This window comes from Homo sapiens, chromosome 8, assembly GCF_000001405.40.
Source record: "Homo sapiens chromosome 8, GRCh38.p14 Primary Assembly".
Lineage (NCBI taxonomy): Eukaryota > Metazoa > Chordata > Mammalia > Primates > Hominidae > Homo > Homo sapiens.
Window position 1 is genome coordinate 18,193,901 of NC_000008.11, and position 26,260 is coordinate 18,220,160.

Sequence of the window (26,260 nt, forward strand, 5' to 3'; positions counted from 1 at the left end):
AAAGTGCTGGGATTACAGGCATGAGCCACCACACCCGGCCTAAACCTGCTATTTTTAAAAACAAAAATATACACGGTTGCATGCATCTCCATCACGTCCTCTTTCAAACCTGTGGATCCTGTGGCTTAAGTAGACATCCTAACTGTTACTGGCTTGATGTGTAGCCCCCTGGAGCCAGATCCTTACTGGGGTATGATTAGGGCTGAATGGAATTGGGACAACCGGATGGCCAGCCTGCTTTGTGTTCACTGGAGGTGGGGGAGTGCCGACCCACTGGTGTGGCACAGCAGAGCAAGGCTGAGGCTTATCACAAAACGTGATTATTAACCAGTAGTGCACGGAGCTGCACTGGGCATTTTCTTTGAAGAGTGACTACTTTAGTGATGTGTCTGTAGGGGAGAGGGTGAGGTGGCATAGCCTCAGTGATTTAAATCTTTTTAGTCACGTATATGATCTCTGCCTATGATGACAATTAGGATTTCTCAGATTTTCTTCTTACTCTGATGTTTAGCACCAGGACCAAGTCGTATCTGTTGAGTCCACTTGTGATGGTGGAGGTCTGTTATCTCCATATAGAGAGTTTAATGGCCCTGTAGACACAATATAAAGCATGGCCCTTGAGCAGGAGACTTAAGGTTGGCTGGGCACGGTGGCTCACACCTGTAATCCCAGTACTTTGGGAGGCTGAGGCAGGTGATCACTTGAGGTCAGGGGTTTGAGACCAGCCTGGCCAACATGGTAAAACTCTGTCTCTACTAAAAATACAAAAATTAGCCGGGCATGGTGGCAGGTACCTGCAATCCCAGCTACTTGGGAGGCTGAGGCAGGAGAATCGCTTGAACCCTGGGGGTGGAGGTTGAAGTAAGTTGAGAGACGCCACTGCACTCCAGCCTGGGCAACAGAGTGAGACTCTGTCTTAAAAAAAAAAAAAAAAGAATATTCAGGCAGAGGCAGCAGGAATGTGTATGTTTCTCTTGTTGGATTCATCGTCTTCTCTCCCAGCTAAGGAGCTGCATGGGAGTAATTGTGCTGGTTTCTGTTAGATGGATACCTGCATGTTCTCAGATGGAGCAGAGATCAGACCCTCTTCTCACTAATACGTCATCCAAATTGCTAGCAGTTTCAGCAGTGGTCCAGAAAATGGTCAAATCTCTGTTTGATGAGTAAGGTCAAGGAGTTTCCCCTTGGAGTTACAGGGGATCATCTCAAGACCAGGAGCCTCTGCACAGGAGACACAAGCATCCCGTGAACATGGAGGACAACACATGGCTTCAAATCATGCTTCGCCATGTATGCAGAATCTCTCTAAGATTTCTGTTTCAAATTCGCAGATCACCACGCTAGTCCCTAAGGGCATAGCTACTTCTGGTTAGTGAGAGTGAAGGAGGTAGAGGTCAAAAGCATAGATTGCTTCCAGAACTGCAGTCCCTAAACAGAATATTCAAATAGGGCTAAGGAGCCTCATTCTAAAGTCAGAAAGTGACTGTAATTTACCTGGTAATTAGATATGCTCAGAAGTAACTTCTGACTTTTCCCATCAATTTCTAGGCTCCCTTAACACCTGTAATAGCTGGACAAAGGAAGAAAGTCGTGCTGCCCTTGGTGGAAGTTTGGACCCATCCCCAGAGAACTGTATACGCTTCCTGCTTTCAAATAATATGTGTAATCCTATGGGGTCTGACTGGCAGACTTACTTTTTTTTCTGATTCAAAATGCCATTCCTGTATATTATTAAAATTTGGAAAGTACATAAAGATATAAAGAAATTTTAAAGCACCACACGATCCCACTACTAAGAGTTAGGGTCTAAAATAGTGTGGTCTGTCCTCCTGAGCTTTTTTCTAGGTGTAAATGAGCTAGCATCAGCTGCACTCAGAGCCCATAAACCCAGGTTCACTTTCAAAGTCGTGTTCAGGAACTTCTCCTTGCATTCTACCTGATGGGGATCAGATCTTTTCGACCTACCAGTTATACACACACACACATAAATACACACACTCAGAAGTTCTTGATGTTAGATTAAAAAAAAAAAGACCCTGATGGCTTGAAGAATTGACATACCACAAAAATGTACGATGCACTTTTATGGGGTACACAGAGGTGAAGTTTGTCTTATAAATAGATGGTGGATCCAAGGATTAATTTACAGAAAAAAAGCTTTGGAAACTTTTAATAAATATACAGCAATTTCAAAACATTACACTTTATACAACTTTTATTTTTTTTTTTAATAGAGACAAGGTCTCACTATGTTGCCCAGGCTGGTCTCAAACTCCTGATCTCAAGTGATCCTCCTGCCTCGGACCTCCAAAGTGCTAGGATTGCAGGCGTGAGCCACCACACCCAGCCAACTTTTACAACTTTTAAAGAGAGAAATTACGAAATGTAATTAAAGTTCTGAATAAATGCCCCAAGAATAATGAGATCCTGAAGTCTCTTTCACCTGAGCCTTCAAAGGCATGAAGCACAATGACAAAAGTAGGGATGAACATATGAGGAAAAAAGAAAAAAAAAATAAGTTGTGCCTCTATAAAAGCCACCCACCAAACACAGGACAAACATGAAAGTAGATGATGACAGACTAACACTTCAGTACAAAAAGAGATGCTTTATAGGACCTTAAACTATCTCCACTCAATATTTTTCATGAGGATGCTGTACTTATTACCGATACATCTGACTTTGTTACTTCTTTGCATTTCTGCTGCATTTCAATCTGAGAAAGTCATAAATTCTTGAAGCTCTTAGTATTTTTTCTCTCCCTTCTGGGAAGGTTAGAAAGATGACAATGATAAATGCATAAATAACCAGCAGGGAGGGAAGGTGCATCATTACATTTAGAAACACCTGACTGTCCTAGCTTTTTATTATTTTAAGAAAGAGGAAGGTTATTAAAGGATATTTTAGAACTACAGAAAAATCAATAATAATAAAAACTAGTATCTGTATGTGATGTTAGAGTTCACAAGCACTATCATCAATTTCCATTTAATTCTTGTATTAGTCCGTTCTCACACTGCTATAAAGAGTATTACCCAAGAGTGGGAAATTATGAAGGAAAGAGGTTTCGTTGACTCACAGCTCTGCAGGCGTTAACGGGAAGCATGGCTAAGAGGTCTCAGGAAACTTAAAACCACGGCGGAAGGCAAAAGGGAAGCAGGCACCTTTCACCCGATGGTTTTAAAGCCATCAGCTCTCATGAGAACTAACTCACTATTATGAGAACAGCATGGGGAAACCACCTCCAAGATCCATGAACCACCCCCAGGATCCAATCACCTCCTACCTGGTCCCTCCACTGACATGTGGAGATTACAGTTTGAGATGAGATTGCGTTGGGGACTCGGTCCCAAACCATATCAATTCTTAAGCAATTTTGTGACACAGATTTTTTTTATTATCCCCACTTTATAATTTACTAAACTCATTGAAGTACATAAAGACATCATACAGCCATCGGGGGATAACTCAGTAGGCTTCTTGGTCTAATTCTGTGATCCTCAACCAGGAGTGATCTCTCCACCTCTAGCAGACATCGGCAGTGTCTGGAGACATTTTTGGTTGTTACCACTAGGTAGTGCTATTGGCATCTAGTGGGTGAGACCAGGGATACTGCTAAACAATGCACACGACAGCCCGTCACAACAAAGGCTCATCCAGTCGGAGTGTCAGTAGTGTTGAGATTCAGAAACACTGGTATGTTCTACACTTTCATTAGGGTCCTGATGAAACTCTTAAAACTTGGTGTGGCGGTTTGTCTAAACAGCATCCTTTCTCTCATTGTTCTTGCTGTCAGAACCTCATTTTATTCAGGGAAGGGCACCCTAATCTCAGTTTAGGAGTAAATATTGGTTAGACTAGATTAATCATGGTAATCCCATTTCCTGTCAGCAGTTGATTATCAGGGATGGGCATGTGACCTGGTTCTGACCAATAAGACACGAAGGGGGATCTGCTAGAGGGATGGGTTCTGGGAAGTATGTTTATACTTTTTTTTTTTTTTTGAGATGTTGAAATTATTTTTAGGAAGGCTAAGAACTAAAATCATTTATATATGTATGATGAGACAACAAGGGATGCCAAAACAATTTAGAAAGAATATACTTACTAAAATTGCTAGCAAAGGCAAAAAATAAATTAAAAAGTAAACCCAAAACAAATTTTAGAGATACCATGCCTTATAGAACTTCTAGAATTGATACATTTTAAATTTATGGACCATTTCCTTGAATTGAAATTAACAGCAGAGACTTTCCAATCTAGGCAAAAAAAAATCTGCTTTTCTTCCTCCAGAATCAGAGAAATCAATGAAGTGAAACATGAAAGATTCATGTGAGGTGCCCTCTACTGAAAGCATAAATTTTGATGCAATCAGAGAAAAACATTATGAGAGAGGATGATCATTAAGTTAATATCTTCCAATTACCTACACTTGTCCCTCAGGGTAAGTCACTGAGTTATGAATGGTGTTTGTTCAACTACAATAGTCCTTCCTAACCACATAAGATTCTTAAATCCCCTTCTATCAGAGAATAACTCTTGTAGTAAATTAGGATTCCTAAAGGGAGTATCAAGAGCTCTCAGTAGTGTTGAGGTTAAATCACTCTTTCCAGCAATAAACACTATTTCTGAAAAGTAAAACTGAAATCGAACTTGTGTCAGTTAAGTGTCATTGCAAAGTTTTAAACTGTGCTCAGTGTATAAAGGTTTTATTTTTCCCCAGTAGTACTGAAGTATAATTGACAAACAAAAATTGTATATATTTAAGGTGTAACATGTGATGTTTTGACACATATATGCATTGTGAAATGATTACCATAATAAAGCTAAGTAGCATATCCATCACCTCACATGGTGACCATTTCCTTTTGTAGTGAGAACACCACACAGTGAAATGGTCACTTCTGTGGGCTGCCTTTTTGGTGATGGAAGCTCAGCTTGCAGCAGATGTGAAAGTAAAACAACTTGAGTAGGACTTGCAATTAGAGAAAAAAACTTTTCTGAGCTCTATGTTCAGAAGTCAGCTTAATTAAAAAGCTGATATTCAGGATATAGTGTTTTCTCTTTTTTTTGGAAAAAAAAGGGCCTTCTGCTTTTAGTCAACTGAAATCTCCTTTAAGACCTTTTTTTTGGCCTGGTGATGTGGCTCACGACTGTAATTCCAGCACTTTGGGAGGCCAAGGCAGGTGGATTACTTGAGGTCAGGAGTTCGAAACCAGCCTGACCAACATAGTAAAACCCTGTCTCTACTAAAAATACAAACATTAGCCAGGTGTGGTGGCGCACATCTATAGTCTCAGCTACTTGGGAGGCTGAGACAGGAGAATCGTTTGAACCCAGGAGGTGGAGTTTGCAGTGAGCCGAGACTGCAACACTGCACTCCAGCCTGGGCGACAAAACAAGAAAGACTCTGTCTCAAAAAAAAAAAAAAAAAAAAATTTTTTTGTTTGGCGCCTTTCTTGTTGGCGTGATTTTTGCCTCTGTAACTTGTTCTTCCATTTCCTTCCATGCCTGTTCTTCCTTCCTTTTGCCATCTTTGATATCACACGAAAAAAATCTAGGGGAGACGTCTAGAGACCCTGAGACCCCTTAAGGAACAGAGAAAAATGTGCCATCCGTCCCCTTTAAGGAGTCTTCTGCCTTCCTTGCGGAGTTCCAAGAATCATTGGAAGGTTTGCCTTCAGTCTAAAGTTCTGCTCTCTCTTGAATTGAGTTCCCTGAACTCTTTGGCTTTTGGGAGTAGTACCAGGAATTGCTTTGGACTCAGAGAACATGACCTTTGAGTGTGTGATGGCTGATAAGTCACTGGTGACGGCTGCAGTTTTGGAAGTAGCTCATAGCATTTACAATGAGTGGTTATTACAGCTGGGGGCTACTCGTTTCTTTGTGCATTTAGGTAAGAAAAGCATGATCTGCAAGCAAAAAACAAACAGCCACATTAAAAGATGGGAAAAGGATATGAACAGACACTTTTCAAAAGAAGACATACACATGGCCAACAAGTATATGAAAAAATGCTCAACATCACTAATCAGAGAAGTACAAATTAAAACCACAATGAGATACCATCCCCCACCAGTCAGAATGGCTAATATTAAAATGTCAAAAAGTAACAGATGCTGGTGAGGTTGTGGAGAAAAGGTAACACTTATCAGGTTGTGGAGAAAAGGTAGCACTGATTCACTGCTGGTGGGAATGTAAGTTAGTTCAGTCACTGTAGAAAACAGCCTGGTGATTGCTCAAACAATTTAAAACAAAATGACCATTTGACCCAGCAATCCTATTATTGGGTGTATACCCAAAGGAATATAAATTATTCTACCATAAAGACACATGCATGCACGTGTTCATTGCAGCACTATTCGCAATAGCAAAGATATGGAATCAACCTAGGTGCCCATCAATGATAGACTGGATTAAAAAAAAATATACAAAATGGAATACTATGCAGCCATAAAAAAGAACAAGATCATGTCCTTTGCAGCAACATGGCTAGAGCTGGAGGCCATTGTCCTAAGCAAACTAACACAGGAACAGAAAACATAATACCACATGTTCTCACTTATAAGTTGGCACTAAACATTGAGTACACATGGACACATAAAAGGGAACAACAGACACCGGGATCTACTTAAGGGTAAAGGGTGGGAGGATGGTAAGGATTGAAAAACTACCTCTCAAGTACTATGCTTATTACCTGGGTGATGAACTAACCTGTACACCAAACCCCTGTGACGTGTAGTTTACCTATCTAACAAACCTGAACATACACCCAAAACATAAAAGTTAAAAAATAATAAAAAAACTAAACCACTGTACGGGATTGATTAATTAAGTAATATGTAGGTATCAGGCATACGTGATCAATCCCTTCATTTGTTTATATTGGAGGAAGGATGGGATCCAGCCCCATTCACCTAGGAGAACCGCAGAGGTAGCAACACTCAGGACCTTGATATTGGATCTCCTGGAAGTCCATTTGTAGTGAGGGTCTTCCCTTCAGGGTAAATATAATTTTTAGCTCTGAAGAAGGTTTAAGTTTTATATATAGTCTAGGCCATAGGTGCTGGAGACCATAACTAGTAAGGCTAAGCCTATGGTGGCTTTGCAGGCTGCGAAGGATAATGGGTAATATGGATGCTAAAATGAAATGTAAATTCAAGGTTATAAGGATGCTCATGATGAATACTGACAGCATTATGCCTTCTAGACATAGAAATGAGACATTAGATGAGATCGGTAAATTATTATTCCTGCTAGAGATGTAATGAAGGCCAAGGTGACATTAATATAGATAGAAGGCATTTAGTAATTATGAGTAATCATAATTTAATGAGTCAAAATCATTTGTTTTGGTTTAAACTCATTACCAATTCAACTCATTCTAGTCCATTTTGGATTCATTCATGGGCTAATCCTAGGGCTAAGACAGTAATTAAAATGAGTACTATAATAAGTACTAATTTTAGGCTGTTCATTCGGAAGGGAAGAGAAGACCCTCACTGCAATCAGGCATCCAGGACAGTGATCATATGGTCCCACACTACCTCTTCCTCCTCCCTGGGTCCTGCATTTAACTTCCTAATCTCTGCTGGTAGCAATATTAACTGAGTATTCAAGACTCTCAGGGCCCCTCTCAAAAAAAAAAGAAAAAAGAAAAGGAAGAAAAGCATGGTTTGGTCACCTGCAGGCTATAGAAATGCTTGCCAATGAGGGATAAGACTCCCAGAGGGGATGGGCTGACCAGCGTGGGCTGACTGGCATTGGGTTGGCCAGCAGCCTCAGGGGGCTATTCTGACAGTGGAGTACACTGTGGAAGCATCGCACTGGCTAGTCCCATGGTGCTTCCCTCTTTTTGGGGACCTAGGATTCAGTGTGAAAATGGGATTCTTGATTTCGGGGTATCTAAGTGCTCTACCTTCCAGCCGTGGCTGTTTTTCACACACATATGAAGCCCTGGAAGCTGCAAATGCTTTCCTTGCCCTTTTCATCAAAGGACTCCACCTTGAAGTCAGTAATCTCATGAATAAACAAGCTAAGTGGAAAAGACCACATATCAAGCTCAATCAGTTTCCAAAATACAACTTTCTGACATTTAGTTGGCCATTTTGAAACTCTTTGTAAATAAAATTTATGTCTATAAAAGAAATCCCCATTTGTAAGCGCATCTCTCTCTCTGCTCCTAAACCATTAGAAATTGTAGGATGAAGACATTGACTTAATATTTACATAACAAACCTTATCTTTGTGTAAGATATTTTTCCTGGCAAGCTTGTCTTGACTGGGCCTTTACCTGTGTCCTTCTTTGCCTCAGCAAATAATGGTTTTAAACCTAAGTTCTGTGCCTTTGAGATACAAACTTTAATCTGCGAGTCATGTCTATGGAAGTACAAATTTAGGGTTACCTAGCTAACAATTATTTTGGGGAACTGAACGGGCAATCAAGAGATTGATCGTCTAAAGCGCGAAGGGAAACTATTTGAAAACTGTCAAATGAAGACCCTTATAAAGCTATTGTGTCCGGAATTTATTCCTTCTGGTAGGTTCTTGGTCTCACTGACTTCAAGAATGAAGCTGCGGACCTTTGCGGTGAGTGTTACAGCTATTAAAGATGGTGTGTCTGGAGTTTGTTCCTCCAGATGTTCAGATGTGGCCTCTGGAGTTTCTTCCTTCCAGTGGGTTCATGGTCTCGCTGACTTCAGGAGTGAAGCTGTAGACCTTCGCAGTGAGCGTTACAGCTATTAAAGGTGGTGCGTCCGGAGTTGTTTGTCCCTCCTGGTGGGTTCGTGGTCTCGCTGACTTCAGGAATGAAGCGGCAGACCCTGGCGGTGAGTGTTACAGCTTACAAAGGTAGTGAGGACCCAAAGAGTGAGGAGCAGCAAGATTTATTGTGAAGAGTGAAAGAACAAAGCTTCCACAGCGTGGAAGGGGACCCCAGCAGGTTGCCACTGCTGGCTTGGGTGACCGGCTGTTATTCCCTTATTTGGTCCCACACACGTCCTGCTGATTGGTCCATTTTAGAGGCGCTGATTGGTCCATTTTATAGAGTACTGATTGGTCGATTTTACAGAGTACTGATTGGTGCGTTTACAATCCTTTAGCTAGACACAGAGCGAGATTGGTGTGCTTTTACAGAGTGCTGATTGGTGCATTTACAATCCTTTAGCTAGACACAAAAGTTCTCCAAGTCCTCACTCCACCCAGGATGTCCAGCTGGCTCCAGCTCTCACTATAAGATCTGCTTCTGTCATATGTCTGTATGTTTATACGCTTGTATGTATGTACATTTCACTACCCAAATATATGAAAGAGCTCTAATTAATTGGCTTAAAGAAAAAGTAAATGCTGAAATAAAATATGTCAGGAAAATAGAAATGACCTCAGATGCCTTTTATGTCATGTGTCTTTAGTAATTTTGGGCAAATAAAACTAGTTTTTACGTTGTTGGTAAAATAAAATAGAAATGTGTTCAGAATCATCAGAGTTAAATATAACTGAGGCATTTTCACCTAGATCTACTGGTAAGATAAGTTTAGGCTATCTCTCCTAGATTTTTAAGGTCACAAATGTTGCTTCTGTGACATTTTTGATACTTCTTTGACTTTTCTGTGAGCTTATGTTATGTCTTGGAGCCATTAGATTTCAGGCTCTAAACAAATGGCCACAGTGAGGCCTGGGGACATTTGTGGAGTTCTCACTGGCCCAGTTGTGCCTCCTGGCTATGCTGGGAAGGGACAGACATTATCCTCACAGCTCTGTCCTCCATTGTGAGCTCTATAATTGGTGTGTACATTTAAGACCCAAATGGGCCCTACCCTTTATAGCCGTCCTTGTGATATAGGAGTTAAGAAGAAATTACTTAGGCAGATAGTAAGGGTATGGGAGTCCTAGGTAAGGATTTCCTTTTTAGTGAAAAGCAGCCCCAAATCGTTTTCTAACAAAGAACAGCCTGCAGGCTGGGAGCTTGCACAGGTGAATGCTGGCAGGAAATATGGGCTAGACACGTTAAAGATGGTGGCTCCATCTTCCCTTCTCTGCCAGTCACCTGTACTGTAAAGGAGCAGACAAGATGGTGCCAATCAACTGGAAAGTCCACTTGCATAAGAAAATTAGGGTGGGGCAACCAGCCTTCCGCACGCACTATGTAGACGTCATACCTGATCTAACCAATTTGTGAGCCCTTTGTAAATCAGACACCACTTTCTCCTGCCTGCCTATAAAATTGGCTGCAGTCCGCTGCCTCCTTGACTTTTTGGATGTCTTTCTCTCTCTCTCTCTCTCTCTCGCAAAGAGCTGCTCTCCCATATCCTTTTTCTGTCTATTAAACTTTCCACTCCTTAACTCACCCACATGTATCTGTGTCCTGAATTCTTTCTCCACACACAACGAACGCCAGGGTATATACCCCAGAGAGTATACAGCCTTCACTTGGGTGTACATGGGTACTTGGGACCCAGGATGAGTAGGGAAGTCAGTAAGGAGTGTGTCATAGTTTCAAAATTCTTTTCAGTAACTTAAAATCTTAAAATCATGTTATGTTAAACTAAGTAATAGATAATCATGAAATATCTGAACCATTTAAGTAACTTTAAAAACTGAAACATTACTTATTAAACATAAGTTTAAGTTTATATACTTTGGCATTTTATTTTTAATATGATACAGAACAAAATATATTTCAATCTGTTAATATACAAAAAATTGAGGAAACATCTTTCTAAAAATTTTGATTTTTATCTACGAATACAGATATAGACAGTTCAAAATTACTTCCCATGTTTTTCACTGGAAATTAGTATTTCTAAGAGTTAAAATGGTAGTCAATATACATAATTAAAACTAATAGCCATAAGAGAATCAATTCTACATACAAAGTGTATAAAAAAAGTAAGATGTAATTTTGGTGAAGAATGTTATAAGACAGATATGAGGATGTTGTTTTAACTCTTAGAAATCCTTTTATCCTATTTGATGACCATGAAGTTTTGATTGCGGTGTAAAGTGGAATGAAGTGACTGACCTCATTTCTAGAAGATTCTAGTGGGCCAATGCTCAGCTCCCAACTTCTGGACTGTATGCTCTAACTATGGGGGACTTGCCTTGATCCCTGACTTTGTCCTCTGGCTCCTTGAGTTTAGGTATCCACTGTGTTGAGGGGGGTCGAGGTACTCCCGGACCATTGGTCACTACACTCCGATGGGTGGTGTCGGCCAAAGCATTTCATAGTGCGGTTACAGCAAGATCCATTCTTGCTCACACGTGCCAGCAGCAGTGGTAGTGGCAGCATGGTAGGTTGCACGCTTGTCAGCTGAGGCAGAGTGCTAGCAGGTGCCAGAGTGCCTGCCTCCCTTCATCATAGGGGTGGAGGCAATGCAGCTGTGGGGGTGGGAGCTTGGTGGAGAAGCCTGATTGCAATTGTGTGCATGGTCATACTGGTGGTGGTATTGGCTTGGGGGTAGGGTGCTGGCAGACAACACAGGTCTGTGTGCCTTCTCTGTGCCCTGTAACAGGAGTGGTTGTTCGGGGCAGGTGAGGATCCACTGTTCTCTGTGCCTAGTTTCACTCCCTCAGCAGTGTTAGCACAAGAGTGGGGCACTGGCGGGGGCAGGGCTGGCTGGCTCTGTGCCTGCCAAGTCTCCATCTGCAGTGATGGTTTGCGGAGGGAGGAGTGGCAGACTGTACTCCCGCCACAGCAGTGGCAGGGCACGGTGCACACATACTCGCCTGCTGGTGGATCAAGGAAAGCAAAATCTGCCCATTCAGACACATGCCAGCAAAGCAATGTGAGGAGTTGCACTGGGCCCTAGGGAAGCTGCAGTGTGGAGAGGGTGCATGCAGGCTGGTGCGTAGGCATGGGGGCCGCCATGCTAGAGCTCCTCGCAGGTTAGGTATAGTGTGCCAGTGCAGAAGCTATGATGTAGCTCCCAGGGCGCTGCAAGCAGGTGTGGCCAGGCTGGGGCCCTGGGAGAGGCCGGCAGACTGAGGGGTGCTCAGGTTGGACTGGCCCTATTTGATGGGCAAGACCACCCTGCAGAGTTCAGGACTGACAGTTCTCCAAGGGCTAAAGGCTCCTATGGGAGCAAGTGGAGCCTAGGGTGATGGCCATCCCTGGCCCTGCTCTGCTACAGATGCTCCAGGACCAAACCCTCTGGGCTCCACATCGGCTGGTTTGCTGCCTCCTATTTCTTCTCTAAGCAGCTCTCCCTGCCAACTTGTGTCTATGGTGGCTGAAGGGTCTCCTTCTGCTGGAGTTCCAGAGACTCGTGGTGAAAGTGAGTTGCTCCATACCAGTTCAACTCACCTGTTCCCCTGGAGCTGCTGGGGCACAGGGACAACACCAGGTATGCAGCAGACCCATGTAGGGTTCCCAGGTTTCCCCCTCTCAGTCCACCTTCTGTGTGTTCCCTCTGTTCACTTTCAGTGCCTTCCCTTTGAAGATCTTCTAGGAGTATACCAGTCATCTCGGTCCCTTGGTGGCAGCTGTTTTACGTGGCTGCATCTAGTCAGCCATCTTGCCCCCGCTCAAAAACTTCTTACTGTTAATGTGGGAAAAACTGAATGCTATTCCTCTAAGATCTTCACAAGGCAAAGATGCGCACTCTTGCCATTTCTATTGAATACAGGACTGTATGTATGAGCAAGAGCAATTAGTCGAGAAAAAAATAAAAAGTACACAAGCCCTTTTTTCATGTGTGTTGGCCGCATAAATATCTTCTTTTGAGAAGTGTCTGTTCATGTCCTTTGCCCACTTTTTAATGGGGTTGCTTGTTTTTTTCTGGTAAACTTGTTTAAGTTCCTTATAGACGCTGGATATTAGACCTTTGATGGATAGATTGCAAAAATTTTCTCCCATTCTGTAGGTTATTTGTTCACTCTGATGACAGTTTCTTTTGCTTTAATTAGAAATTATAGAAATTATAAATTACTTTGGGCAGTATGGCCATTTTCATGATATTAGATAGCTCTTTTGTTTAATTAGACCCCATTTGTCAGTTTTTGCTTTTGTTGCCATTGCTTTTGATGTTTTCATCATGAAATCTTTGCCCATGTCTATTTCCTGAATAGTGTTGCCTAGATTTTCTTCTAGGGTTTTTATAGTTTTGGGTTTTATATTTAAGTCTTTAATCCATCTTGACTTAATTTTTGTATAAGGCTTAAGGAAGGGGTCTAGTTTCATTTTTCTGTGTATGGCTAGCCAGTTCTCCCAGCACCATTTATTAAATAGGGAATTATTTCACCATTGCTTGTTTTTGTCAGGTTTGTTGAAGATTAGATGATTGTAGATGTGTGGTCTTATTTTTGAGTTTCTCTATTCTGTTACATTGGTCTATGTGTCCGTTTTTGTATCAGTACCACGCTGTTTTGGTTATTGTAACCTTGTAGTATGATTTGAAGGTGGGTAGTGGGATGCCTCCAGCTTTGTTCTTTTTGCTTAGCATTGTCTTAGCTATCCAGGCTCTTGTTTTGGTTCCATATGAATTTTAAAATAGTTTTTTTTTCTAATTCTTTGAAGAATGTCAGTATGTCAGTGGTAGCTTGATGAGAATAGCATAGAAATTATAAATTACTTTGGGCAGTATGGCCATTTTCACGATATTGATTCTTCCTATCCATGAGCTCACCATCACTGATCATTAGAGAAATGCAAGTCAAAACCACAGTGAGATACCATCTCTTGCCAGTCAGAATGGCGGTTATTAAAACATCAAGAAAAACAGATGCCAGTGAGGCTGCAGAGAGATAGGAATGCTTTTCCACTGTTGGTGGGAATGTAAGTTAGTTCAATCATTGTGGAAGATGGTGTGGCAATTCCTCAAAGTCCTAGAATCAGAAATACCATTTGACCCATCAATCCCATTCCTGGGTATATACCCAAAGGAATATAAATCATTCTATTATAAAGATACATGCACGTATATGTTCATTGAAGCACTATTCACAATAGCAAAGACATGGAATCAACCCAAATGCCTGTCATTGGCAGACTAAACAAAGAAACTGTGGTACATATAGACCATGGAATACTATGCAGCCATAAAAAGGAATCAGATCATGTCCTTTGCAGGGACACGGATGAAGCTGAAAGCCATTATCCTCAGTAAACTGACAAAGGAGCAGAAAACCAAACACTGCACGTTCTGACTCATAAGTGTGAGCTGAACAATGAGAAGACATGGACATAGGGAGGGGAGCAAGACACACTGGGGCCCGTTGGGGTGAGGAGGGTGGGGGTATGGGGAGGGAGCGCATCAGGAAAAATAGCTAATGCATGATGGGCTTAATACTTAGATGATAGGTTGATAGGTGCAGCAAACCACCATGGCACACATTGACCTACGTAATAAACCTGCACATCCTACACATGTACCCCAGGGCTTAAAATAAACAGAAACAGAAACAAAAAAAAAGGAAGTAAAAAATAAGCCTAAAAGGAAAAAGTAAAATTTTTTCTATTTGCCGATGACGTGATCCTACATAGAGAAAACTCAAAACACGTCATAAAAATTGTTAAATCCAGTAAAGTAGCAGGATACAGAATCAACATACAAAAATCAGTTGCATTTCTTTACACCAGTAATGATCTATCTGAAAAAGAAATCAGGAAAACACAATCCATCATAATAGCATCAAAAAGAATAAAATAGAGGGTGGAACAAGGTGGCCAAATAGAACCTTCCAGTACTCATTCCCCTGCAGGGACATCAAGTTCAACAAATATCCTCACGAGCCCAGGCGGCACAGTGTGAAGACAGAGTCTACCTCCTTAGGAAGTAAAAGGAATGTTAGTGTGGGATTTTGCATTGGAGGCTAGTGCTGACCCCACTGCAGTGGAACACAGCACTGGGCAGAGCCTCCAAGGCCCTTGATTCTAGGCTGGAGGCCACAGAGGGAGCATTTAGACCCCCGCCCCGGGTCAGAGGGAAATCTGCTACCTCAGCAGGAGGAATCCAAGTTCCAGTCCACTTCACAACCACCTAACTAAAGTGGCCTTCCGCCAGACCCTAAAACAAAGATTTGCATTCAGGTAGATTATTTGGAAGATGATTTAAGGACGTACCAGTGCAGGAGTTGTCGCGGGACAGTGAGACCAGGGCAGTTTGACAATCAATAAAGGGTGCATCATTGGCAAGCTACCTGTGAACAAAGGGAGCATAATTCCACTGGACAACACCAGGAGGCAGTGTTATACAAGCCTAAGGGTAATTCCACCTGACCAGGTACAGCACAAAGATATGTGGCCTCCAACTCCCAACATCCTGGGCTGAATAGTGGTCCCAGACCCATAGTTTTCAAGTCTATCTAGCCTGCCTGAGGACATGCCAAGAGAAAGCCTTCGCATAGAGTCCCGAGTTCACGTGGCAGGACGCCAGAGGCATGTTCTAGAACAGTAGGTGCCGAAGGCACAGCACAAGGAAACACTCACTGGTGGAATGTTCTCAAAACAAAGAAATGATAAATGTTTGAAGTGATAGATGTGCTAATTATCATGATTTGATCATTACACAATGTATGTATGTATAAGAACACCACATTGTACCCTGTAAACATGTATATTGGGTCAATAAAGAAACAAAAATTATGTTGTATAGAGAAAAATGCATAAGAAACAGCAAGAGTTGTAGATCAATACCATGAATGTAAATAAAAAACACCAGCATAAACAAAGCCATATGACATATATCACCCTCATACCACACACATGGGGCTCTTTCAGACACATTGCCCAGTGCCTTCAGGTAGAGAGGCCAGTGGGAATGAGGATGATGGATGAAGGGAAGAAAAATTTTTAAAAGAAGTCTAATGGGAACTGATGAAGAAAGTATACCATAAACTTGGAGTGTGATTAAAGCCTTCCATCTTCCTCTTTTGCCTCCTCTAGGTTACCAGTTCTGCTTTTCCTGGACCTGTTCCAAGCTCTCACGTTCCACATCACACATGGGACATCTAGTGTCAGGCTCCCAGAGAGCAGGAACCAGGTGAAATATAAGAGCACAGTCCTCCCAGCCGGTGGCATGGGGATAATCGGACAATACAACTCTCCACCCTTTTTTATGGTAAGATATGAATAAGGGGTCCACAGGAGCAACCTGAGTCCCTGCAACTACATTTCCCAGGGGCCCCTGGGGTAACCCTAATGTGACTCTGGGGGCGGGGCCAGTTGGACATCCAATGAGAGCACTTCCCCTGCAGACTTTGGAAGTGAGAGCACTTCCTCATAGACCTTGGATGTGGGAGGATTGCATTCAGTCTAGTTCCTGGTTGCCGGCTGAAATAACCTGGTAAGTGGAACTCTGTAAGGGGCTTTGAAATTGGGGTTTAATCCTATCTCAACTGTGAGTACAGGAGAGTAGGTTCTACACGATGTCTACATTTCAAGTATAAGGTTGCTCAGAAAGTGTGGCTGGCACATACTTGGAAGCTAATGCTGTCACTACTCCACAGCTTAGTGGTGACAGTTACAGGTCCTTGATTCAAACTGTTGGGTTTACAGTCACAGCCACTTTATAGCTGTGAGAACTTGGCCTAGTCACTTAGTTTCCCTAAAACTCAGTTTCTTTTTCAGTAAAATGGAGCTACGAGTACTGCTTACTTAAAGGACTTGTTGTGAGGATTACATACGTGTATTAAAAGATAACTAATGTGTTTAAGGCAACTTTCTCAACAGGATTTCCCTCTTGGTTACTTGTAACAGTGACGCTCACCCTCCTCTGTCCCCAGTGGTGTGTGTCCCAAAGGACCCAGTTAATCCTACAGGCAGCAAGCTCGTAATAATTCCTGCTCCTCTTGCACTAGCTGATAAAAAGCCCCTAATGATCCTGGATGTCCAGGAAGATTGAATTCTGTTGTTTGCAATGCCTATGGGAATTCCAGAGGGAAGTTTTTGTTTTTTTGAGGCAGAGCCTTGCCCCATTGCCCAGGCTGGAGTGCAGTGGCGTGATCTCAGCTTAGTGCATCCTCCTCCTCCTGAGTTCAAGTGATTCTCCTGCCTCAGCCTCCTGAGTAGCTGTGATTACAGGCACCCGCCACCATGCCTGGCTAATTTTTCTATTTTTAGTAGAGATGGGGTTAATTTTTGTATTTTTAGTAGCGATGGGGTTTCACCGTCTTGGCTAGGCTCATCTCGAACTCCTGACCTCAAGTGATCCACCTGCCTCGGCCTCCCAAAGTGCTGGGATTACAGGCGTGAGCCACCACACTAGGGACGAAGTTTTATTATGGCCGAAGGACACTTACTGGAGAGGGTCTCCAGGAGGTATGAATGACAAAAAAATTTAACTCCTTCACCGTCAGACCGAGAGCATCACCCCCTGAACATGGACTTGCAGAATTCCACAGAAGAGAGGAGACTGGCCTAGACAGACAGCCCCAGGAGCTGAGGGCCCAACAGGCTTTCTACCCTGGATGCTGCTCCCATGCCCTGACATGAGGCCCACTACAATGGTATACTTGTTTGCTCTTTCCTAATTAAGAAACAAACAAACAAAAAATCAGACATACTGTTTGCTCTTGAATGCTTGAAACACAAAACAGGTGACACCACCTTCCTCCTCAAAAGGAACTTTTTAACTGTCAACTTTCTACCTGCACGCTGCCCAGAGACTTATTTTGTCTGGCCCTTGCTGTCTTCAGCAGTAGCAGCTGTTTTTCTTTAGATTTGCTTTTCTGGCCTGGTGCAAGTAACCCCCACCACCTGCCTGGCCCCAGTCGGCATTAAATGGGAGCAGTGAGTGGCCTTCTGGACAAGAACAACTGTTGAATGATGGTCTTTGGGTGCGGCTAGTCCAGCAACCCCTTTTCATCCAGAGGCCCAGTGAGCTGGCTTAGGAGGGGGCTAGGTTGTAGTGTCAATTTAGTGGGATTCCATGCCCTTCTTTCATGGTGGTAGAGGCAAAAGAAAAGAGAAGGAATAGGAAAAGAAAAGAAAAGAAAAGAAAAGAAAAAACACAGAAAGAAAAGCCACTCATTGGCTCTCCTTGTAATTCTTCTAATCATTAATGCCAGAAATCTATGCAGCAGGCGTAGATGATTTTATCTCAGTCCACAATTGTACTTGTGCTGATTGTAGCCTTAAGGCCTTACAGCCCTATCTCATAGGCAGACTACCTCTGGGTTAAACTGCTTTTAATTCTTCTATGTTGGGCTCTTGTTTATAACTTTTTTAAGAGAAAGAATACAGGTTTCTTTAGCAATAAAGAAAAAGAAAACCACTGCTGTATATTTAACACACATCGATTCTAGAGACCTGGAATTGAACAATGAGTTCTGCATATCAACCTGCTCTCCAGGGGTACCAATCCAAGAATGTGATTATTGAAGTGCCAAGTCACATAGGGATAAATCACAATAGTTGGTCAACTGTTGAATCTTGATCCTTCAACTAAACAATATTCATGAACTCTGCAGAAAAACACCAGCATTTTGCTCAACATTCAGGACCCTCTAGAAGTTGCCTCATTCTACTCTCCTTTCTTACCTTTCTTTTACACAGCTCTCCAAAATGTCCACAAAAGTGACTTAAGTCAGGTTCCCCCAAACCAGACACCAAGACAAGAATCCATGTGTGTGTGACTGAAGGAAGTGCTGGGAGAGCCCCAGCTGCAGCCTGGATGTGAACTGCAACTCCAAAGTGTGTCCAGACTCAAGGCAAGGGCACTAGGCTTTCCAGACCTCCTACTAAGTCATTGATCCAGCACTGCCCTGCCAGGACATAAATCCCTGGCACCTCTTGCTCTCTGCAAAGGAGGGCAAAGCAGCTTCAGGAGCCCTTGGGAGTCCTCCAAAGAGAGTCTAGGGTACAGGTCCGAAAGTAGAAGAACACAGAAGGCAGGCCAGGGGCACTGTGAGATGGTAAAAGAGATCTGAAGGGATCCAGGTAAGTTATTGAAAGTATTCTTTCTGTGCTAACCCCAGTCCTCAATCCTTGCCAGCCAGCCCCGTCTTCCCTCTTAGGTACCCTGAGCAGGCTCTATTTTATGCCCTTCCATACCTACGGTGGAAACCAATAGGGTTTTTTTTTTTTTCAGACAGAGTCTCACTCTATTGCTCAGGCTGGAGTGCAGTGGCACGATCTCAGCTCCCTGCAACCTCCACCTCCCGGGTTCAAGTGATTCTCCTGCATTAGCCTCTCAAATAGCTGGGACTATAGGCATGTGCCACCACACCTCGCTTTTTTTTTTTTTTAATTTTTTATTAGAGATGGGGGTTTCACCGTGTTGGCCAGGCTGGTCTCGAACTCCTGACCTCAAGTGATCCACTCGCCTCGGCCTCCCAAAGCGCTGGGATGACAGGCGTGAGCCATTGCACCAAGACCCGATAGGTCTAAGGGGTCTCATTTGAGTCATTGTATATAAATTTTTTTTTCAATGTTTTTTGTCTAAAAAACTTTAGACAGGGAATGCACTCTCCAATTACCTTCAACTGCTACCTCTCCTTATTTTATTATACCTAGATACATCTTGCCTTAACATTTCAATAATTTAACCAGAATATGTTCTGTTAAAAATCTTTTCATTGGCGGGCCATCAGACTGGGTGACTCCTGTGGTTTCATTTTCACTCATTTTACTGTTTACCAGTAAACAGTAGAAAACTAGAGACTTCACCAATCAGAAACTGTCAACTAACCTCTAACTAGGGACTTTTCACTCTAACCAACCAAATAGCTTTTCTTTGTCTCACTCCTGCAAACATTTTATAAAAGTTTCTCTCCTGCCCTCTCCTTTCCTCAGCAGAGCATTGAGCCACCTGTAGTCTGGTGCTGCCTGGCTCATGAATTGCTATCTGTTCTAATAAACTTTAAAAAATGTTATACCTAAAAAATTATCTTTTAACAATTCCAGTGTTGACAGTACTGGATTGGACTCTCCTAGACTCTGGTCTTTCTTGATCTTCAGATCAAATTTTTAACGTCATATTTCTTTTTTTTTTTTTTTGAGATGGAGTCTCACTCTCGCCCAGGCCGGGGTGCGGTGGCACTATCTCGGCTCACTGCAAGCTCCGCTTCCTGGGTTCACGCCATTCTCCTGCCTCAGCCTCCTGAGTAGCTGGGACTACAGGCACCTGCCATTGTGCCTGGCTAACTTTTTGTATTTTTAGTAGAGACAGGGTTTCACCGTGTTAGCCAGGATGGTCTCGATCTCCTGACCTCGTGATCCGCCCGCCTCGGCTTCCCAAAGTGCTGGGATTACAGGCATGAGCAACCGTGCCCGGCCCTAACGTCATATTTCTATCTCCATATAAGCCAAAATGGCTTGTTCAAAAGCCATAACTCTCATAACTTTTCTACTCTTTGTTCTGTATTGGAAGGAGTCAGTGTTCACCAACACTCCTTTAGTGTGACCTCTCTACTTTTTGGTTTTCATATTCATCTACTTGTTCACTGGCCATGAAACCGAAACTATCAGGATAGCTCAGTTATTGCATTTCTCAAGCTCTTTTATGTTTGATATTACCTTTATATTCATGTTGCCTTTATGATCAAGTGAAATACTAGCCAGAATATTTGGAGCAAACTCTTTCCCTTCAATACTTTGAAGATACACTTCTATTACTTCACCAGTGGATATTTTTGTGTAACATTCTCTTGCTGTCCTGATGTTTTCTCTTTCATGAAATATTTTCTTTCTCTGCCAGAGGCTTGAGTAGTTGTCTTTAATTTTGACTTTTAATAATTTAACAAAAATATATTCCAGTGGCAAACATGTTGTATCGAACTTTCCCAGAATTTTCTCTTTTGTTTTTTAGCTTCAATTTCTTCATCATTTCAGGAAAATATTTATCTTTACATACATTTTTCTTAACTTTTAAATCCAGGGGTACATGTACAGGTTCGTTATATAGGTAAACTTGTGTCATGGGGGTTTGTTGTACAGATTTTATCACCCAGGTATTAAGCCTACTACCCGTTAGTAATTTTTCCTGATCCTCTCCCTCCTCCCACCCTCCAACCTGTGAAAGGCCCCAGTGTGTGCTGTTTGCTTCTTTGTATTAATTAATTCTCATGATTTAGCTCCCACTTATAAGTAGGAACATGCATTATTTCATTTCCTGCTCCTATGTTAGTTTGCTAAGGATAATAGCTTCCCGCTCCATCCATGTTTCCATGAAAGACATGATCTTGTTCTTTTTAGTGGCTGCATAGTATTCCATAGTGTATAAGTACCACATTTTCTTTATCCAGTCTGTCACTGATGGGCATTTAGGTTGATTCTGTGTCTTTGCTATTGTGAAGACATGATCTTGTTCTTTTTCGTGGCTGCATAGTATTCCATGGTGTATAAGTGCCACATTTTCTTTATCCAATCTGTCATTGATGGGTATTCAGGTTGATTCTGTCTTTGCTATTGTGAATAGTGCCATACATTTTTCTATTGCACTTTTTGCATTCTCCACTTCGGAAGCACCAATTGTCTTTGCATTGGCTTGTCCTTGACTGCGTTCTATTTTATTCTATCTTAATTGCTTTATCATTTCATTAGCCTTTAGTAGGAATATCAAGCTTTTCTGCCACATAAGCAATGTGATACGATATTGTATCTATATGGTTCCTTTCTGTTCATCATTATGTATTCTGTTGATTAATTAGTTCCATTTCTGTCCTTAATTAGTATTCTAAGGTATGAAATCTTTCTTTTCATAAAACTATTATTTTATCACTTTATTTTTAGCTGTTTTTTATTGAGTTTATTTCACATGGTCCATAGCCCCAGATACCTGTACAATTTTTTTTTTCAGTTTATTTTTCTTCTTGAATTGGTTGTGGTTTTTTTGTATATAACTTTTGCATGTTATGTCTTTTCTTCTAATCCCAATCTCACAGTATTTTGATTTTGTTAGTTCTCATCATTTTCATGTATGTATAGCTCTGTTTCCACCTTTTATTTGCTGCTTGAATCTGGTGTGGCTGGTGAGATGTCCAGCTGGGGTTGGTGTAGACTTGTCAATTGAGGAAAATGACGAGACGAGTCTCAATCATTTTAGGAGATTTATTTGCCAAAGTTAAGGATGTGGGCCTGGGAGACAGGTCTATGCCTTTCTCTGAAGATGATTTTAAGGACTGCAAATTTAAAGGGGAAAGGATGGGATATCGAGAAGCACCGTTTTCATGTAAGAGCTGGGTAGGGAAAATAGTGATTCATGGCCTTTGGCTCAGTGAATGTGCTTTTTTTTGCATAAGATGACATAAACAAAAGGGGCAGAGGAAAAATGCAAGGACTCTGCATTTTACATAACATACCTGGTGGCTCAGATGCTACTCTTTTAGCTGTGGTTTCAGCCAGTTGGTTACCCTGACTTTCTGTGGTGTCTAATTTTGAGTGACCTGGGATTTTTATAATTGCCAAACGTTTTGGTTTTAGAGTAGCTTCTAACAGCGCTGATACTTGCTGCCCATTTTCTATGGGTTGCCCTGAGTAGGTTAAATATCCTCTCTCTTTCCATAGCATCCCAAAGTTATGAGCAACCCCAAAAGCTTAGCGGCTGTCAGTGTAAATGTTTGCAGCCTTGTCTTTTGCCACTTGACAAGCTCGAGTCAGGGCAATCAATTTGGCTGCTTGAACCAATCTGGCATGGGGAAGAGGACTGGCTTCAGTTACCTCTAGTAAGGAAACCACAGCATATCCTGCTCTAAAATGTCCATTTTCTCATCTTCAATAAGACCCATCTGTATACCATTCTATCTCAGCATTATCCAGTGGCATCGCTTATAGGTCTGTCCTGGGGGTGAGAAGTTGGTCAGTCATCAGAACACAGTCATGAGGGGTCTTGTTGGAAGGGCCTGGCAAGAGAGTGGCTGGATTAAGATGATAGAGCAGGAAATAGTAATATTGGGAGAAGATAAAAGCAAAATTTCGTAAGAGGCTAAGCAGTTGACAGACAGATACTGGGTATGATGAGAATTTAGAAGGGTCTCAATAGGATGTGGCACAAAAATGGTAAGGGGGAACTCATAAGAACTCATAATTATTTCTTCAACAGACGTGTACAGAAGGGCCATGCTGTTATTACTCTTACACAAGGAGGCAGCCCTCGAGCCACAGGGTCCAGCTGTTGGCTATAATAGCCTACCGGTCTCTGATGATCACCATGTTTCTGGGTCAGTACCCTGGATGCAGTACCTCCAGTTTCGCATACAAAAAGGGAGAAAGGCAACTTGTAGATTGGGTGCTGTGAGTCTGGGGAATTAGTGAGAATTTCCTTTATTTGTTATATAACTGGTTTTCCCTCTGGAGTCCCCATGATGAGATCAGGTTGTTCATTTTTTAGGTATGCATATGGAGGGTGAGCCACAAAGGAGAAATTTGGTATCCAGTTTCTACAACAGCCTGCCAGTCCCCGAAATCCTCTAAGTTGTTTCTTAGTGATGGGCATTGGGAAAGCTAAAATTTCTCTCACATTATCAGGGTTAATACTCAGTCCTTTGACCAAGATAATATGCCCCAAATACTTAACTTCCGGTAAGCACAGCTGAAGTTTGTCTTCAGACGCTTTGCGTCCCTTGCTGGCTGAGTAAATGTAGACTATCTTCCTGGGAGGAAGATGCTGTGCCTGGACAAAGGAGAAGGTCATCCACATACTGAACGAGTGTTGAGCCCTGGGGAAAAATTAAATCCACTAAATCAGCTTTTAGTATTTGGGAAAAGTAAGTGGGACTTTCTGTATACCCTTGGGGCATGACAGCCCACATATATTGCCATTCTTTCCAAGTAAAAGCAAACAAATATGGCTGTCTGGATCTACAGGAATACTGAAAAAGGCACCGCAGAGATTCACAACTGAGAAATACTGGCTGGTAGTGAGTATAGCTGATAAAACGGCATGTGGGTTGGGGACTACTGGGTGCCTGGGTATTACAATATTGTTTATTGCCCTCAAGTCCTGCACAAATCTCCATTTTCTCCTGCTTTGTTTCTTTACAGGGAACATAGGGCTGTTGCAGGGGCTGGTGCAGGGAATAATGAGCCCCTTTTTAGATAGTCTTGTATAATAGGGGCAATTCCATTTGCGGCTTCCTGCTATAGAGTGTATTGTTTAAGGCTAGGCAGGGGTTTCTTTGGATTTATCTCTACCTTTATTGGAGTGGCTGAGAATATTTTCCCTATATCTGTATTGACTGAGACCGTAAGTGGGAGGAGACATCCTTGAGCAAGCGTTCCTCTTCTGGTGTTAACAGGAAGACTGGGGAAGCTAAAAGGAGTTTTACCGTTTCCTGCTCTTTATTCCAGTGTTTTCTCTTCTCCTCTATTATTTCCTTCTGTGTCTCTATTTCATATTCCCGGCCACAAGACGATGTTTCAACACTACTAGTACTAAATTGTGGTACGTTGTCAGGACATTTTGTAATTCGGTATTCTTGGTCTCCTGGCCCCAATTCTAAAAAAAGTTCACGTTTTGATGAAAAAAAGATATGGGCATTATGGATGTTGAGGAGATCACAGCTCAAAAGATTGACAGGGGCCCCAGGGCATATAAGAAACATATGGTACCTACGGAGCATGTCACACACAATTAGAGCTTGCGGCGGGGGAGCTGAACCCGATGGAATTGTAAGGTATAGGTTTGGACTTAAAACGTGAGATCATTTTATTAGACGCAGCCACCATGTTAATTCTTTCATTACTCTGAGGAATGGGCTTTCTAAATCAGGTGGGATTTATCAGAGATATAGTTGTGTCTGTGACAATTAAGGCAGTTGTAAGCTCATGATTTATTATTATATTAATGTCTCCCAATTTGTTTGTCATGGTGAAGTTTTAACAGCTCACTAGGAGTTAACTTGTGGGCAAAATATGGGGGAGGCATGTGGCTTTTCATCTTGTAGCCATCTTATTCAGGAACCAAAAAGGGGGAGGCAGGTTTGCATGACCCACTTACTAGCTTGACTTTTCCCTTTGGCTAAATGAGTTTCGGGGGTCCCACAATTTAATTTCCTTTCACAGACTCCTCAGTTTTCTTTAGTGGAGGTGAGGGGAGGTGGCTATGACAAGAGATGCTCTGATAGCGGATCTTCTGTATATAGATGGTCCTTGTTTCTTTTGAGTAGCATCATACATTAAGGGCCTTACCTTGTTTATCTGCCTCAACATGCCGAATTATAGCTGTACCTAGAGGAAGACCAGGTGCTAGCACTACATCCTGGTCTTTGATGTGTTTGGTATATGTCATGGTAGTGACTGGGGGCATGGAACTTGGTTCACCCTTCCTTGCTGATCTCATGACAGTTCATCAGCTGGTGGGTTGCCTCGGGAGGCTGTGGAAGCCCCGCTGCTGGTGGCTTCCACAGCTTCCAGGTTTTTAAGCCAGAAGGCTGTACCCCATCAGCGTTGCACCCATCTCCATAGTTGTAGTTTCCACACACTTATACAACTCAAATGTTCACTTTACTGTGCAGTCCATTCCCTCTGTTTTGTGATTTTTAGGAAATCTTCATAATTTACGGTCTACAAAACTATTATTTTGTTTTCAAGGAAGTCATGTTATATATTTCTGACTGTCTTTTCTCTTATTTCTAGAATTCAAGCCAGGAAGAAGCAGCAATCTGTCTTCTGGATTAAAACTGAAGATCAACCTACTTTCAACTTACTAAGAAAGGTATTAAGCGCCTTTCTGAGAGCTCTCAGTGGGCTTCCTAAGCACGTTCACTCTGCCTCCTTTAAGTCTTATATTTATGATCAAGATGAAAGGGAGGGATGTATCACTGCACAGAGATTCTACAAGTGGATATATAAAGCTAATAATGTTTTCAGTGAGCTCTTCTCTGGCAACTACTTTCCAAGTGCTTTCAGCATTCCACCTTGAAGCACAACGTTAATAATGCACAATTTCTTATGTTCAGCCACAGAATGTTCACGTGTGATTTGGTTACAACATATTGCTCTATCCAGGCCTCTAACAAAACTGACTTCTTTCAAATGGACTTGCAGTTGCTGAATTCCAAATCAACACTTTATCTTAAAAACAGAAAAGGAGGGGAAGGGTGGAGGGAGGGGAACAGAGAGGGTACAAGAGGCAAAAAAAGAAAAAGAGGAAAACAAATGCTTGTAAACAAGTTAAACCAAATAAAAGAGATATAAAGTAATTTCTTAAAAGAAGGAATGATATTCTAAGCAAGAATCAAATATCCAGGTATGTATAAACCGCCTTCGTCCTTTTAGATCGGCTTCTCTCTCTTCTTTACATACTCAGTACAAATTCTAGGTGAGGGGGCAGAGAGGGGTTGGCATTGTCTGACTAAATACATCTTGTTCTCTCTCTGAGTGGTA

The 26,260-nt window shown here is 42.1% G+C and overlaps 1 protein-coding gene and 1 pseudogene across 14 annotated transcripts in view; one reads left to right on the top strand and one right to left on the bottom strand.

Annotated features, from left to right (window-relative positions):
• Positions 1–26,260, top strand: part of NAT1 (N-acetyltransferase 1) — a 53,223-nt gene that overhangs the window by 23,434 nt on the left and 3,529 nt on the right. Inside the window, exons 3-8 of one of the 14 annotated variants that reach the window (XM_047422397.1) lie at positions 15,881–16,055; positions 16,192–16,280; positions 17,293–17,442; positions 18,491–18,874; positions 22,977–23,094; positions 25,511–25,589. In XM_047422397.1, the coding sequence (XP_047278353.1) occupies positions 22,994–23,094; positions 25,511–25,589 (180 nt within the window). In that variant the 5' untranslated portion in view covers positions 15,881–16,055; positions 16,192–16,280; positions 17,293–17,442; positions 18,491–18,874; positions 22,977–22,993. The other 13 variants (XM_047422398.1, NM_001160170.4, NM_001160172.4 and 10 more) reach the window with 13 other exon arrangements.
• On the bottom strand, positions 7,024–7,305 carry MTND4LP26 (MT-ND4L pseudogene 26; annotated as a pseudogene).